The sequence below is a fragment of the Homo sapiens genome, chromosome 13 (genome assembly GCF_000001405.40).
Source record: "Homo sapiens chromosome 13, GRCh38.p14 Primary Assembly".
Lineage (NCBI taxonomy): Eukaryota > Metazoa > Chordata > Mammalia > Primates > Hominidae > Homo > Homo sapiens.
Genome location: NC_000013.11, coordinates 32,094,816 through 32,113,296, shown reverse-complemented (window position 1 = coordinate 32,113,296; position 18,481 = coordinate 32,094,816). Strand labels below are relative to the sequence as shown.

Sequence of the window (18,481 nt, the reverse complement as noted above, 5' to 3'; positions counted from 1 at the left end):
CTTCTCATAAATGGAACATTTAATGAATAACTTTAAAGTAACTGCACTGATGGTTTAATTTCTCTAACAAATTCAAGTGGTCAAGCAACTCTGAGGGCCACGATACTCACTGTGTAATACCATAAAATGCTGATATCTTAATTTCAAATGCAATTTATTTATACTTGATCACATATCATACTATTGCTAGATTATAGTATTTGATGAGTAACGACAAAGATTTAAGAATAGTTTCATAGAAAAACAATATCATAAAAATCTATACATTAAATATTTTTTTTCATTCAAGTTAGGAAAAGATTCTTTGATTTTAACATCTTAGTTCATTTCATAGAACAGTGTTCCACTAGAGAATAATTAAAGCAATGCTGACTAACACTAATATAAATCCAATGCCAGTTAAATTGTTTTCACTCTTAATTGCTTACATTCTTCATCTGCTTCCTTTTCCGGAAAATTACTACTACCAAGATGGTAGAAAGTGATTTTAGCTCAGTTATAGAGGTGTGAATATGTTTAACCATGTGTTTCCTGTTTACAGATAGTATTTTAACATATTAAGAAATAAAGTAAACGGTACATAAGTACACAAGTACACAAAAGTATGTAAGACATAACATCTGGAAGAAAACCTTAACTGAAGTTACTTAGAATGTTTGGGCAAATGATCTGCAATTCACGGATATGACACTAGTTAAGAATATAAGTCACATTCAATTGCAAATAGTTACAGCTTAATGTTCTCAGAACCCAACATGTGAGACTGACCACTCACGTGCCATGTTTTCATAGTTTCTCTAGTGTATGGGATGATCAAATGGTCTTGGGTTCAAGTTACAACTCTGCCTCTTATAGCTGTATAAGCTTGGCATGCCACCATTTCTCTGATGCTTTGTGTTCTCAGCTGTAAAATGGGACTAAATACTTACCTCATTGGGATTTTAAGAGGACAAATGAGATGCTATAAAACGTGGGGCACATAATAAACCTTCCAAAATGTGTTTCCTTCTTTCATTTCCAAATATAGAAAGAGGAGCATTAAAAAAAAAAGACAAAAAATGACTGTGATGAGATCACAGGCTAAGTTAATAACAGAATAAGTAACAGAATTTGCTGTCAGGATTTTATTCACCAGAGCTGAAGAAATGTCACTTTCTAAGTATATTGTGGGAACCTGAAAAGCCCCACCTATCCCGTGTCCAAGCACAAACTCCCAGGGTCTTCATTAGAACCCTTGCAACTTAGTTTGTGTTCCCATTCTTTTCTGACTCCAGCAGATGTAAATACAAAGCCTTTTGCCTGGCGCCTTGCAAATGCTTGCATTAGAGGTCACTGAGCAATGTCTGTCCTGCATTAGACCCTTGAGAGAAAGGTAGCAAACATCTGGCTCCCTGAGTTTGCTGCAGGCAACAGCTCACTTCAAAGCCAATGAGAAAGGACACTGAGGATAGTAACTCATGACTATTCTGGAATCAGAATCAATCAATTGAATAAAACCAATTAACTCAGGATCCTCAACCACTCTGAGAAAAGTGTTGAGTCCAAATATAAGTGGGTTGTGACAAATGGACACAACCCTCTGCAAGAAGGCACAGTGTGAAGCTCCTGTACTTCATTTGGTATAAGAGCGTTCTGTAAAACACATGTAGCCCTCATATGATCCTGCTCTCCCCTTTCTCATCTAATTCTCAATTATCTGTCCTTCTTCCTGACAGATTCTCAATCACCCATGCAATGCTGATGCTTCCTCTTCCTGCTTCACTGCCAACTCTCTTCTTCTCTTTCTCCTTCTTCTTTTTTTGAGATGGAGTCTCACTCTGTTGCCCAGACTGGAGTGCAGCAGCACAATCTCGGCTCACCGCAACCTCTGCCTCCCAGGTTCAAGTGATTCTCCTGTCTCAGCCTCCCGAGTAGGTGGGACTACAGGCACACACCACCACGCCCAGCTAATTTTTTTTTTTTGGTATTTTTAGTAGAGATGGGGTTTCACCATGTTGGTCAGGCTGGTCTCAAACTTCTGACCTCAAATGAGCCACCTGCCTCAGCCTCCTAAAGTGCTGGGATTATAGGAGTGAACCACTGCATCTGCCCCCAACTCTCTTCTTGATCCCTGAAATCTGATTTCTGTCCTTGCCACATTATTGGCACCTTTATTTGAAAAATCAGCAGGGACAATTCAATGGCCAACCAATGGCCTTTTTTGCAATAATTTCCCTTGAAGTCTCCTGAGCAAATGACAGTATTCACCAGGTTCTCCTGGAAAGGATTTCTTCCCCAGAATCCTATGATGTTGCCCTGTCTTAATTAGCTTCCTGTACTTTCTCTTATCTTCTATGCTGTTCCTCATGAAATGCCAAAGCATAGTAGGACAATTCATCTGTGACAATAAGGATCTGAATTCTGATTGCTCTGACACATGCTCCTTTGCAGAGTAATCAGACTTTATTATGCAAAGAGAAAATAACTTCCACTTACTGTATGAGACTGTTTTAAAAGTTGAAATAATACTTCAAACAGAAAAACATTGTACAGCATACAATTTTTGGTATTATTTAACACATTGTATGTTTATATCATCATTAAATACTACATAAGCAAAGGTCTAAAAGCCAAGGGCAGAGCAAATCAACAAGCAAGCATTTGCATGTAGCTGGAAGGTATGTGAAAGAATATTCGTTTCTGACTTCATTCATCAGCTAGAATTTTCATTTCTGAGAGTAACTGTATCTAGTGGCTGTCATTAATACAATCTCCAACAGGTAAGGGTCACAAACTCCCTCAAGTAAGAGTTATTTTGGAGTGTTGCTTTTTCACTTTTAAAAATGGGCTAATTTGATCATCACCCACCCAGGCCCACGCTCATCACGGTTGGATGAGTAGTTCTTTGTTGTTGGCTATTGTTTCTTTGGAGAATCTGAAATAAAATGCTGTGGACTTTTATTGTAAAAAGATGTCTGTACAACGAAGAAAACCACTTGAAGGTAAAATGGTGAGCTCACATGCCTTTCATTCATAGATGCTCTCCACAGATGCCAGATAAGGAACTCATCACTGGTTCCATGATTATGTTCTAGCACGCTGCTTTGTTATTTAGGTGCTACCAATCATAATCAGCCACTATAACTTAGCTTGTGAAAGTAAGCTTCAAAGTATTTAACATTAGTCCATCGACTATGAAAATGCACTCTACACATCCATGAATAGCCATTGCAGCAAAAGCCTTCCTCAAAGCCACTTCCAGTGAGCTCCTAGCTGCTAACCTCCAGTTCTTCCTGGTCTGCATCTTCCGTGATGTCCCTGCATCAGCTGCTGTGATGGGCCATCCCTGCCCTAGAGAGCACTATCTCTAGACTTCTCCCACTTTCCAAACTACCCTTTTTCTAGCCATTCTTTTGTAGATCCCACCTCCTGATACTAAACTCTTTATGACGTTCTTTACTTATGTGCTCTAGTCTCTATCAGTGTTTGTTGAGTGACCACATAATAAACTGAACCCGTTATTTTTCTTGAGATATTTCACCTTCCCTGAAAACTCAGTATGCATAACGGATTTACAGCCTTCTCTTGTCTTCTGCCCCCAAGTATAGTTTCCTCTGCTTGAAGAGCTCATAGCCCATAGAAAATAATCTAGACCCCTCAGCACGGCTCCTACTACCCACTGCAATGGGCTCAGTCCACCTTTCTACCCTCATTCCCAGCACTCTGCTCTTTTCACCTTCAACTTCTCCTTTGTCTGTGAGACCCCTGCTGCCTGGCATACCCTGGCCCAATTTGTTCATCTGGATAAAAGGCTTATTTTAAATGTCACTGCTCCTTGGTTGCTTCTTGTAGCACACACTTGTGTACCTTCCTAGCATCATTAACTCCTCCTTTATCTGAGTTCCTAGAGCACTTGATACAACCTCTATTATAGCGTTTACATTGCCACTTTATTTGTGTAGATAACTGTCTTCCTTCTGGGATTGAGAATTCCTGGAGGACAGGGCTCTGTCTTATTCATTTTTGTGACTTCAGCACCTTGCACAGATCCTAGTATGTGTCAGGCACTCATTGTTTGTTTAATTGAATGGAAATCGCTCCAAATCATGCTTAAAACTACAGTTATCCTTTGTTTCTCCTTTTCTCAACCAATGTTTATCCTTTTTATATAATTTTGCTTATAATCGTCCTTTCTTATAGTCTCACTGCCTCCATTTTAGTTTAGGCCCCTTTAGCTTAGAATCTTTATCAATGCCATGTTCCCCAAATGCCTTAGGTCTCTTCATTACTGCCTTCATGACCATTGTCTCCTTAAGGCTAACATCAAGTTGACAACTTGATACTGGTATGCATACAGCCCCATCCCACTGGCATTAAGATCTTCCACAATCTGATCCCTTTCTACCTCTGCCGCCTGATCTCTTTTTTAACTTCTGCCAGACTGTAGGAAATGTTTGTTTACAATGGAAAACTAAAGCATACCTCTCAAGGGGTTATCTGATTCTGAGTCTATGGGGGCTCTATACCTGTCAATGCCTTTGAGCTATTTTAAAATTGTATAAATGGTAGATACCTGATAGCAATGCAAAATAATTCTTGTCTATAGACATGAAAAACTGTCCAGTGAAGGTTCAGTGGACTTCCCTCCCCCACATGAAAGAAGCCAGTTTTGCCTCTGATTGCATTCATTTCAATGATGATTTATAAATGTGTCTGTTTTTTGGAATTTAACTGGTTGTAACATCCTGCACTAATAACAAGTTAAATAAAATGTTTAATACAGGTTCATTTTATATCTCTATGTGAGTCATATTTTTGCCTGTTTTTGAAGATTATCCTTTAACAATACATGCCTTCTGCATCAACTAAATTGATCAATTTCTAGGTTCCTCAAAGATAACTGATAGTGTCATTTTTCTGTTCAGGACCTTTGCATAAAATGTTCCTTTCTTCTGAAATTTCCTATCTTCCTCATCATCAACACTCAGCAAATCCTATCGATTCTACTGCTTTAGGCACCTGATAAATCTTGTTCTCATCTAGAAGGCATTTTCTAGCTAGGCAACTGGTCCTGAGGCATGTGTCTTCTGTCCCTGAAGTCTCAGCATATTTACTGTCCACACCATTCATGTGGCACTTCTTACACATGCAGGCCTATGTCAAGGCTGGTTGTGCACTGCCTGACCCTCTTCCAGATCTGGAGCTCCTGGAATGTGAAACACATGCCTGGGGACCACATTCTTACATCTCTTTGTCTCATATAAAACTTTGTGTGTATGTATATACATATACACATGCACAGTAAGTGTTTGCTAAATTACTTTATTACCAGAACGATTTTTAGTTCCTTTTACTCGCTAAGCCCTGACAGTTACTATAGTAATTTAAAATAAATAGTGATAGTATATACATCTTCAAATGCTGTTGGAATTCTCTTCTGCCTTTATTGATTCTTGTTACTGGTATGACTTTATCACTAGCATGGACCAGAAGGGATAGCCCATACTGCTCTGAACCTCTGCTGCCTGCTCCATGAAGGCCTCCCTGGCTCCTCAGGGCAGGGCGAAGTTTGCTCTCCTGAGGCTCACACCCGCTTTAGCTTACTTACTAGTCTGCGGTTATCATTTATCTGATTGTAGTTCTATTTTTCTCTCCAACGAGACTCCAGTGGTGGGGCCTCTAGGGCAGGCACTATGCTTCCTTCCTGTTTGTTTCCATGAGTTGGCATAATGCTTGGCACATGGTTGCCAGGAGGTAGGTGCTGTATAACAATGGAAAAAAACTCATATTCCTGAAGTTTGTGAAAAGTGAAATTCTGGAAATGAGGGCACAAATTCCTAGTTCTCCAATGTGTAAAGCATTCACTAGTATATTTCTCCTACTAACACTGAGCTTTAAAAATCCTGTTTAGACATCTTGTCATTTATAAAATCTTTTTTCCAGGTTTCTTCTTTATTTTTATTTTTTATTTTTGAGACAGAGTCCCACTCTGGAGTGCAGTGGTGCAATCTCAGCTCACTGCAACCTCTGCCTCCCAGGTTCAAGCGATTCTCCTGCCTCAGCCTCCCAAGTAGCTGGGATTACAGGCACGTGCCACCACGTCTGGCTAATTTTTGTATTTTTAGTAGAGATGGGGTTTTGCCATGTTGGCCAGGCTGGTCTCCAACTCTTGAGCTCGGGTGATCCACCCGCCTCGGCCTCCCAAAGTGTTGGGATTATAGGCGTGAGCCATTACGCCAGGCCCTTCCAGGTTTATTCTTACAGAGTTGGAGTGTAATTAGGTTAAATTTAGAAATACTAAACCAATAAAATTATGAGTGTAAAAATATAAAATATAAAAGAAAACATGAAGTTTTAGCTTCTAAATATATATGTATATTTAAGTTCAAACTGGAAAACTGGCAAATTTGAGGAGAAACCCACAGTGGGAAAGAAAGAGGTACAGAACTGTAAATAGTTCTACTTTGGGCATTTTGGCTAAATATCTAGTGGATACATCTAGCTGTTACCCAATAACAGGTTTTCTTCTTTTTCTTTTCTTCTTCCTTAGGTATAAAATACCCCATTTTTAGACGGACACATAGTCACCCAAAGTAAAATTTCTCCACCTTTCTTATAGCTAGATGTGGCCATGTGATTGACATCTGGCTAATTGGATATAAGTAGAAATGGTATATGCTATGTTGGAAAGTTTTGTTTTTTGTTTTTCTATAATTCTTTTTCCATTTCTCCTTCTGGCTGCCTGGAATACAGATGCAATGGCCAAGCTCTAGCAGCCATACTGGACTTTGAGAATGTAAGCCATACATAAGAAAGAAAAAATAATCTTGCTCAAGAAGATTTTACTTTATTTGCCATTTGTAGCCAAAGCTAATCATAACTGATAAAAGATTTTAGATCCTTTACCTGCTGAAAACTTCCCTCTGAACTCTCATCAACCTAGTTTTTAGAAACAAAGATTATGGAGTAAAAAGCACAGGCTGTATTGTCAGAAACAATAAATTACAGTCTTGGCTCCTTCAGGTTTTAGTCATATAATATTGGGAAACTTCTGAGACTCACCATTATTATCATCTCTATATTAAATATAATATCATAGTAAATATAATGTTATATATCCTATAGATATATTTAATATTAACATAATAGTGTATTAATATTAATACAATAGTATATTTAATGTTAATATAATTTAACTTAATATTAATATATTATATTTAATGTTAGTATAATTTAATATTATATTTAATATTATTATATTATATTTAATATAGAGATAATACCTTCTTGGAGTTGCTGGAAGGACTGAGTGATGTCAGGTGAGATAATATGAGAAGGGGCTGGGTAAACTATAAAGTATTACATGAATTTTTTTTTGCTTCTATTTCTAGCAAGAAGAAAATGAATCATGGGCTGGTTAGGTAGAGGAGTAAAAAGGGCCATTCAGGATTAGTCAGTGAAACAGTAGATACCTAGCTCTATATACCCTGTTGTTCATGCCAGTGACATTTAGAAGAAAGAACTTGATACAAATATCATTTAAACAGGAACCAACTGTATGTTGTTCAAAGGATGCACTTAGCATAGTACCTATCACATATAAGTACTAAATAAATGCTATCTCTACTATTACAACTACTCCTACAATTATAGCAATGGAGTCTGAACCACTCAAGGTGGCATCTCCAGCATATTCTTTTCCCATAGACAGACTTCTGTGGCAACCCAGATTAAAATCCTACTGTTTGGAATAAAACTATATAATTTGAATGTTTAATGCCAAAGGACTAAGAGACCTTGCTATATTCATGGCCTTACCAATGGAACTGAAATTCTTATAGTTTGTTGGTTGAAACAGCAGATGAGCACTGTTTTAGTGCTGCTGAGATTGGTAATTGATAAAGAACAAAAATGTACTCATCACAGTTCTGGAGGCTGGGAAGTCCAAGATCAAGTCACCAGCAGGTTCACTGTCTGGTGAAGGTTCGGTCTCTACTTCCAAGATGGCTCCTTGAACACTGTGTCCTCACATGGAGAAAGGACCAAAAGAGAGGAGCTCCCTCTGTCAAGACCTTTTATAAGAGCACCTAACCCCATTCACAAGGGAGGGGCCCTCATGGGAAAATTACCACTTAAAGGCCCTACCTCTTGATACTATCACATTAACAGCAGCTGAATTTTGGAGGGTACACATTTGAACCACAGTAAGCACCTTCAAAAGCTATTATGCTTTGCCAACTTTTTCCCCACTGAATCTACAGGTGGACCAACCTTAGTCAAGTTTCTCTATGGCTTTATATTAGTCTGTTCTCACGCTGCTAATAAAGACATACCAGAAACTGGGTAATTTATAAAGGAAAGAAGTTTAATTGGCTCACGGTTCTGCATGGCTGGGAGGCTGCACAATCATGGCACAGGGGTGAATGAGGAGCAAAGTCACGTCTTACAATGGCAGCAGGCAAGAGAGAGCATATGCAGGGGAACTCTTCTTTATAAAACCATCAAATCTCATGAGATTTATTCACTATCATGAGAATAGCATGGGGAAGACTGGCCCCCCATGATTTGATTACCTCTCACTGGGTCCCTCCCATGACATGTGGGAATTATGGGAGCTACAATTCGAGGAGAGATTTGGGTGGGGACACAGCCAAACCATATCAGGCCTGAAAGTCTTGCTATCACTTTAAAACTGGACTACATTTTGTGGCTTGTCCTCTCTCACAGTTCATTTGTGAGTTTATGATGTAATGATCAGAGGACAATCCTATGTGACCTATTTGAAAGTTCTTAGTGACCATCTTACTATTGGTTCACACTTAAAGTGTCTTTAATACATAGAGATATGTTACAGGGCAGGGCTTCTCAAGCGTTAATGTGCATGTGAGTCACCTGGGAGTTTTGTTAGGTGGCGGATGCAGCAGTTCTGGGGCCAGGCTAACAGTCTGCATTTCTAGCAAGCTCCCAGGTGATGCTGATGACACAGATCCATGGACAACACTTGGAGACGCAAAGTTAAAAGTGATATAGCTAATTAAGTGACAAAGGTGGGATTTAAACCCAGGTTTGTCTAATTCCAAAGGTCATGTCTTTTCCACAATACTGAGATTCAGAAATAGAAAGCTGAGTAACAAATAAGAAATTGTGTTTAAGCCTAGTTATTTGGGATTACTATTATCTGCAAAGTTAAAATTTAGAACGATTTTCTCAGAGGATAAAGAGAGGTACATTAAGCTGGAGAAAAATGTTTTTGAAGAAAGGACAGTGATAATTTAATAAGATAAAGAGACAAAGAATATAAAATAGAGTGGAAAGCTAATAAAAGACAGGTGATAAGTATGTACATTTTTTTTTTTCGAGATGCGGTCTCACTGTTACCCAGGTTTGAGTGCAGTGGCGTGAACTCGGCTCAATTGCAACCTCCACCTCCTCAAGTGATCCTCCCACCTCAGCATCCTGAATAGCTGGGACCACAGACATGTGCCACTATGCCTGGCTAATTCTTTTGTATTTTTGATAGCAGCAAGGTTTCGCCATGTTTCCCAGTCTGGTCTCGAACTCTTGGGCTCAGGAGATCCACCTGCCTCGGCCTCTCAAAGTGCTGGAATTACAGATGTGAGCCACTGCGCCCAGCACTATTTATTCTTTTTTTTTCTTATTATACTTTAAGTTTTAGGGTACATGTGCACAACGTGCAGGTTTGTTACATATATACATACACATGTGCCATGTTGGTGTGCTGCACCCATTAACTCGTCATTTAACATTAGGTATATCTCCTAATGCTATCCCTCCCGCTTCCCTCCACCCGACGACAGGCCCTGGTGTGTGATGTTCCCCTTCCTGTGTCCATGTGTTCTCATTGTTCAATTCCTACCTATGAGTGAGAACATGCGGTGTTTGGTTTTTTGTCCTTGTGATAGTTTGCTGAGAATGATATTTATTCTTAAAAAGCCACAACTTGCCACATTTCCAAAATGGTAACCCCAAACATCATATACCGTATTCACCAAGGGTCTCTGACCACCTCAGCACCTGCCAGGTGACAACAACAATGGACAATGTGACAAAAGAAGATAGTGCCATGGCACAAAGAGATGAGGCCCATCTTCCATTTCACCAGCCTTCTGGAAAATGGCTAGCTTGGCTGGCAACAGAGCTAGCCCAGAGCCACGCCACCGTTGCAGGGCTGGCTGTGAGCATAAACCTGTGAGGTCTCCTTCACAGAACAGCTCATAAAATAGAAAACAAAGGATTTTGTCTGTACAGTCATGGTGTTTCTGGATCATACAAGTCTAAATTTGTACAGCCAGGGAGACTTCCTCTGGATTTCATATTAAAGGCAGTTTCAAAGCCCGACAGAAAGTGTACACCCTGTGTGGTTTTCATTAGACCATAAAAACACCGTACTACCACAAGCCAGGGAATATCTAGCAGTATTTTGTGTCTGACGTTGGCACCAACTGAGGTTTTTGAAGAACATAATGTCCTTTTTGTCATTAACTGCAAAAGTTTAGGAAACTTCACAAACATACCTCCAGCCTCCTTGGATGTCCTGTTATCCATCATTTTTAAACATGCCTAGGGCCTTCCTGGTTACTGAACCAGAATCTATCAGATCCTGATTTCATATGTTTATTACCTACTGTTTAGAGTTGAATGTTCTTTACTAGTCCTAACCTATTTTCAAAGGACTTACCTTGTATTTATTCTGTCTTAAATCATTTTGTTCATGTATTATTTTCTCTATTAGAATCTAAGATCCTATACTGTTTTATACTTATTTTGAGGTAGTATCTTTCTCACAAGACTCTGAATTCTTGAAGACCTAAAAGTTATCTTAGATTTTGTATCACCAGTACCTAGCACAGCGTCAAGCAAATAGTAGGCCTTCAAAAAAATGTTGCATGAAAACAAGAATAAGCTCTAGTGCAGAGATCTGATCATCACATAGTATCATTCATTTAGAAGAATCTCAAGTTTTTAAACGAATGGAATTTCCTTTAAACTCTCTTTTCTTGGTTTCTTTAATTCTGATATGTAAAGATTTAGGAAATAATCAATTGAAGACCTACTCATATTATCCCAATACTTTCCAGTTCTTTTTGATTCTAACCAATAGACATTTACTGAACAGCTATAAACCACAACCATGAAAACTGCAGGGTACAGTTCTTAAGACCACATACCCATATACTTTTTGAGGATGTTCATCCATACAACAATAGTGAGCATGCAGACCTTGCCTTGCGTGAATGCTGAAATAAAGGAAAACTAGTATATAACATATATATCACATACCTGATCAAATTGGGGGTCTTCTCCACGTTGCAGAGATTTTGTCAATGGCTTTTCCTAGAAAGAAAAAGAATATATGCAAGAATAATTATTAGAGTCTCTTAAATAGTATAAAAGAAATGCCATTATTGTTCCATTTTTTCTCACTCATTTCTCTCATTATGGAATCAGGAGGCACCAATTTTTAAATGAGTGAGGTATTCTCCCTTAGGTATTGTAACCATAGTAGTTATGTTTGATCATTACTGCCACGACTCTTGCTATTCATCTTAATACATGTCTCTTTGACCAAAACATTAAGAATCTGATACTTAGGGAAACTCAAAACTACAATGAGATATCACCTCATACCTGTCATAAGGACTTTTATCAAAAAGACAAAAGATAATAAATGTTGGCAAACATGTAGAGAAAAGAGAACTCTTGTATATTGTTAGTGGGAATGTAAATTAGTGGAGCCACTGTGGAAAAAAGTATGGAGGATTTTCAAAAAATTAAAAATAGAACTACCATATGATCCAGCAATTCAGCTTCTGGGTATGTATCCAAAGAAAATGAAATCAGTATCTTGAAAGATATCTGCATGCTCATGTTAACTGCAGCATTATTCACAATAACCAAAATATAGAGTCAGTCTAAGTATCCATCAGTGGATGAATGGATAAAGAAAATGTGCTACATATATATACAATGGAAGACGATTTAGCCTTAAAAAAGAAGGAAATCCTGTTATTTTTGACAACATGGACGAACCTGGAGTATTATTATTATGCTGAGTGTATAAGCCAGGCACAGAAAGACAAATACTGCACAATCTCACATAAACCTGAAATCAACAAAAGTCAAATTCATGGAAGCAGAGACTAGAATGGTAGTTACCAGGGGCTGGCGAGAGAGGAATGAGAGGAAATGGAAGATGTTGATCAAAGAGTACAGAGTTTCATTTAGATAGGAAGAATAAGTTCTGGAGAGCTACTGTATAGCATGGTGACTGCAGTTAATAATGTATTGTGCTATGGCCTCAATGTATCCCCCAAAAATTCATACGCTGAAACCTTCAAGGTGATGGTGTTAAGAGGTGGGGCCTTTGGGAGGAGATTAAATCACGAGGGCAGAACCCTCCTGAGTGGGATCAGTAAGAGGTCCTAAGGAGCTTGTTCTCCCCTTCTGCCATGTGAAGATGCAGCGGGAAGGCACCATCTATAAAGAAAGGGGGAACTCACCAGCAACCAAATATCCCCGTGCTTTGATCTTGGACTTCTGGGTATCCAAAACTCTGAGCAGTAGATGTCTATTGTTGATAAGCCATTTATTTTATAGTAATTTGTTATAGCAGCCTGAATGGACTAAGATACATTGTATACTTGAAAACTGCTGAGAAAGTAGATTTTTAAATGTTCTCATCACAAAAAAAATTTACGTAATGTGATAGAAATGTTAATTAGCTTGATTTACTCATTATACATATATCAAAACATCATGTTGTAACACCATAAATAAACTTATTTGCCAATTTTATAAAAAGAATCTGATGCTATAAGTGGTCCTATGTCTTCAATGGCAACAACATAATAAAAACCGTAAAATTTATTTGAAAAATTTAATATTTATCTTGGGATTTGACAGATAATAAAAAGTCACGGCCAGGTGCATTGGCTCACGTCTGTAATCCCAGCACTTTGGGAGGCCGAGGCGGGCAGAACACGAGGTCAAGAGATGGAGACCATCCTGGTCAACACAGTGAAATCCTGTCTCTACTAAAAATACAAAAATTAGCTGGGCAAGGTGGTGTGTGCCCGTAATCCCAGCTACTCGGGAGGCTGAGGCAGGAGAATTACTTGAACCCAAGATTGCTCCACGGCACTCCAGCCTGGTGACAGAGCAAGACTCCATCTTAAAAAATAAAAATAAATAAAATAAAATAAAAAGTTGAAAGCAATTCACTATTCCAAGTCCCTAGATTTAGAAGCAAAGTAAGGTTTATTTATTAGACTGGTACTGAGGGAGAACCTACCAATCATACATTTACTAGGTGTAACTGGTGAATTTGGGGCATGTGATTTTTCTTGCACCACATCTAGTTCTCTGCAAAAATAATATCAGTAGTAACAAGAGTCTACTACAGAAACAATTCACCTTAATTATTACATCTTTGTTTACATTAGGAAGCCTTAACTGATCTTCCAGCAGAGCATTTTTTTTTCAATTCAAAGAGTTTAATTCAGACATTATTGACATTTTGAGAACTCCAGAAAATGTAACTCAAAGCAAGACCTCAGTTTTCCAAACTGAAATTTCTGAGGAAAATATTCATCATGAATAGTTTTCTGTTTTCAATGCATTTCAGAAAGAAATTTTTACATATCTGGTAGAAGGATTTGAAGTATCTATTGTAAGTAAATTAATTACATGGGAAATGTTCATTCACACAAAGGAAATAGAGCTTTTATGCTGACTGTATTATACGTTTTCAAAATCGTATTTCTTTGTGCTCTTTCAGAGAGCTTTTTAAAACTCGGACAACTTGAATTTTTAATTATAGAATAATATATATTGCTAATTCACCCTTTCCAAAATGACTCAACTCACGCGGTATTGCTTTTTAAGCCTCCAGCAGAGCATTTTATGTTACTTACCCTTATTTGTGTGTGTGTATGTGTTAGTGTGTGTGTATGTATGTGTGTGTGTATATATATATATCTCTGTATTTTAGATGAATACACATTTTGAACCTGTATATATATACATATATACACATATATATATGTCTTTGTTATGGAAGTTCATTCTGATCCAAAATTTGGTTGAGGATTAGAAACAATGCAAAAGTTATATATCAAAAAATATTAAGTTTTACTTTGGCCAATGCAGGTTCCCTAGCAAGACTCCATTTATATGTACCTGCTCACATAGACCCTCTCACTGTGGGTCTAATCATTTCTCCAATCCTCTCCTCCACTCACAAAGATGATCTTACCTAAGGCATATACAAGCCCCACCCCTGCCCCAACTGTCTTTGTTCTTGAAGAAACGCACATGGTGGTCTTATCCTGCAAGTCTGAGGTTTCACCAAGAGCCTTACAAATCAACTACTCTGTCTCCATTGCAAAATATACAGGTTCAAAATGTGTATTCATGTAAAATACAAAGAATACTGTGTTCTTATGGGTAACATTTTCTGTTCAGAGTATACTATCTAGATATAATGAATAGATACTATATGTTTATTCATCACTCAACAGTGACTGAGGGTTCACAATGCGTCAAATGCTACATGCCGGGGTGGAACACTGAAGAACACACGATACACACTACTGGGGAGAAGAGTCGAGTCTGAGAGGGGAAATGTGGTTAATTTCCTCTTATGAGTGTTGTCTCTACTTGTTCATTATTCAAACCTCAGCTGAACTATCACTTCTTCAGGGAAGCCCTTCTCTGAGCCATCCCCTAACACCTGGTGTCTCTCCCTGTACATGCCTGCAAAGCCTCATGTATTTGTCCTTTCACTGACCTTACCATAGAGTAAAGTCACATCACAGTCATCATCTTGTGCAATTACACATTCATGAGTGAGGCACCGAGCACCATCCCTGCTAGGTGGCAGGCCCCAGAAATGAAGCGACCTCTGTTTCTTTCAACACTTAAAGTCACAGGACAGAGCATGGCTCGCCTGACATGCAGCATTCCACCTGATATGTAGCATGTGACATGCTGTGAACCTTCAGACACTGTTGATTGATGAATACATATAGTATTTATTCATTATATCTAAATAGTATACTTTGAACAGAAAATGTTTGTTTACCCATAAAAACACAGTATTCTCTGTATTTTAGATGAATACACATTTTGAACCTGTATATTTTGCAATGGAGACAGAGTAGTTGGAATTTGTAAGGCTCTTGATGAAACCTCAGGCTTGTAGGTGAGACCACCATGTGCATTTCGCTTGGTGCTGGCTACGCATTTGCCAGATTAATAGAAGTTCTAGGACAGTGGTGTCCAGTTTTTTCAAATATGAAAATCCCTTTATTTTCTGTGTATATGTCTTGTTTTAAGTTTTAAATTTTTTTAAAAATACTCTTTATTGTGGTAAAATATACATAGCAGAAGATTTAGCACTTTAAAGTGTAGAAATCAGTGGCACTAAGTACATTCAAATGTTGTTCAAACATTATCATTATCTATTTTATGAAGATTCCTTTTAGTTCCAGAAATGTTCAAAAACTTCTTAACCAACACACACACACACTCCAAACATATAAGATAGTAATTTTATTTTAGAATCTATTGTTTAAAACTATACATAATGACAGAGAGCTAATACTACAGCTCCAATGATACTTTTAAATGGTTCTGGGCCGGGCACGGTGGCTTATGGCTATAATCCCAGGACTTTGGGAGGCCGAGGTGGGCAGATCACCTGATGTTGGGAATTCGAGACCAGCCTGGCCAACATGGTGAAACCCTGTCTCTACTAAAAACACAAAAATTAGCTGAGTGTGGTGGCGGGCACCTGTAATCCCAGCTACTAGGGAGGCTGAGGTGGGAGAATCGCTTGAACCAGGAGGTGGAGGTTGCAGTGAGCCAAGATCATGCCACTGCACTCAGCCTGGGGCCACAGAGCAAGACTCCATCTCAAAAAAAAAAAAAAAAAGGAAAAAAAGGTTCTGTACTAGAGTAGCAAAAATACTTCTTTTATACATACTAGAAACATGGGAATACATCTATATGGGAGACCTTAAAACTCAGACAAATGATAACTCAGCACACCTGTGGGTCTGTAGACCCCTACAACAACTCAGGAGTTCACATAGTGGGAGCACAGAAGGCAATCCTCTTTCACTACTACCTAAAAGAAGATCCTGCCACAGCGGGGAAAGAAAGGTGACTGTGTCCACCCACATCCCAAAGCTCCCCATACCTACCTAAAAGTTATTTTTGTCCCACTACAAATTAGATGGGAAGCTGATAAACATGGTATTTTACACTTACACATTTTTGCATACATATGAAGGAAACAACATATTGTCAGGCTCACTTTCTCCAATAAGCAAAGTTGATATATATATATAAGTTGTTGCTATACATAAAAGTCAAGTCCATTAGCTAAGAACTTGGGGTCAATGCTGCAATAAAATAACATGCTAAGTTGCTAAGTTTTCCTTAACTATTTTTACACAAATATACTATCTTTTTTTTTTTTTTTTTTTTTTTGAGACAGAGTCTTGCTCTGTCACCCAGGCTGAATGGCAGTGGCATGATCTCAGCTCACTGCCGCCTCTGCCTCCTGCATTCAAGAGATTCTCCTGCCTCAGCCTCAGCCTCAGGCTCTGGAGTAGGTGGGATTACAGGCACGTGCCACCATGCCTGGCTAATTTTTGTATTTTTAGTAGAGATGGGGTTTTACCATGTTGGCCTGGCTGGTCTCAAACCCCTGACCGCAGGTGATCCGCCCACCTGGGCCTCCCAAACTGCTAGGATTACAGGCGTGCCACTGCACCTGCACACAAATATACTGTCTTAATCATATTCTTTGAAGACTCAGCTTAAATGTCATTTCCCAGATGAAGCCCCCCCCCGCAGTTTTCCCTAGCAGAGTCACCTGTTAGTTGTCACACAGTACATTATTTGCACCTATTCTTGTTAGCATTCCCACCATGTTGTAACTTGTCTGTCTCCTCCATACCCCTAGTACACAGTTGGAAGTTATCAGGGTGTGTTAAATGGCTGACTATAACTGTATGCATTTGGAAAGATAGCTTTGCGAACAGAGAATCAGGTTCACATTTTAACATTACCAAGATTATCTTTGCATCAACATAGATTTTATCAGTGAGATGAGACTTGAGAGTACACCTAGGGGACAGAATACCATAGTAGCTAAAAAATAAAGAGAACAAAAGATGAAAGGAAGAAAGGGAGAAAGGGAAAGAATATAAGAAAGAGGGAAGAAAGAAAGGATGAGTGAAGAAATAAAGACAGGAAGGAGGGAAGGGAGGAAAAAAGGAAGGAAGAAAGATGGAAGGAAGGAAAGAGGGAATAAAAGGGAAGAAAGGAAGGATGGAGGAAGAAAGAAAAGAGGGGAGGAAGGATAGAGAGATAAAAAGAGAGGAAAGGTTAGAGGCAAACTTGCTCCAGCTCAGAAGAGAGCCATCTGAATACAAGGGAAAGATCCGTAAGTCTCAGGCCTGCTTCAGAAAAGAGACCTGTAAATCTAAGACCTCAAAATATGAAATTAGTACAAGAAAACATTGGGGAAAATCTCCAGGACATTGGTCTGGGCAAATTTTCTTGAGTAGTACCCCACAAGCACAGGCAACCCAAGCAAAAATTAACAAATGGGATCACATCAAGTTAAAAAGCTTCCACACAGTGGCCAGGCAGGGTGGCTCACGCCTATAATCTCAGCACTTTGGGAGACCAAGGTGGGTGGATCACGAGGTCAGGAGTTCGAGACCAGGCTGACCAACATGGTGAAATCCCGTCTCTACCAAAAATACAAAATTAGCTGGGCTGGGGGCGCACGCCTGTAATCCCAGCCACTTGGGAGGCTGAGGCAGTGAATTGCTGGAACCCAGGAGGCAGAGGTTGCAGTGAGCCAAGACTGCGCCACTGCACTCCAGCCTGGGTGACAGAGTGAGACTCCGTCTCAAAAAAAAAAAAAAAAAAAAAAAAAAAAGCTTCCATACAGCAAAGGAAACAATCAACAAAGTGAAGAGACAATCCACAGAACAGGAGAAAATATTTGCAAACTATGCATCTGACATGGATTAAGAACCAAAATATACACGGAGTTCAAACAACCCTATGGGAAAAAATCTAATCATCCGATCAAAAAATGGGCAAAAGACTTGACTAGACATTTCTTAAAAGAATACAAATGGCAAACATGAATATGAAAGGTGCTCAACATCACTGATCATCAGAGAAATGCAAGTCAAAACTACAGTGAGAAACCATCACACCCCAGTTAAAATGGCTTATATCCAAAAGACAGGCAACAACAAATGCTGGCAAGCATATGGAGAAAAGGGAACCTTCATACACTGGTTGGTGGGAATGTAAATTAGTACAACCACTATGGAGAACAGTTCGGAGGTTTCTCAAAAAACTAGAAATAGAGCTACCATATGATCCAGCAATCTTTTCCAAATACTGAGAGGAAATCAGTATTTGGAAAAGATATCTGCACTCCCACATT

The 18,481-nt window shown here is 38.8% G+C and overlaps 1 protein-coding gene across 5 annotated transcripts in view; it reads right to left on the bottom strand.

Annotated features, from left to right (window-relative positions):
• The window catches only part of FRY (FRY microtubule binding protein), a 267,352-nt gene that overhangs the window by 185,829 nt on the left and 63,042 nt on the right, over positions 1 to 18,481 (bottom strand). For all 5 annotated transcript variants that reach the window (XM_047429999.1, NM_001411012.1, XM_047430000.1 and 2 more), the window contains exon 3: positions 11,281 to 11,334. In XM_047429999.1, the coding sequence (XP_047285955.1) occupies positions 11,281 to 11,334 (54 nt within the window). The remainder of the gene's footprint in view (positions 1 to 11,280; positions 11,335 to 18,481) is intronic.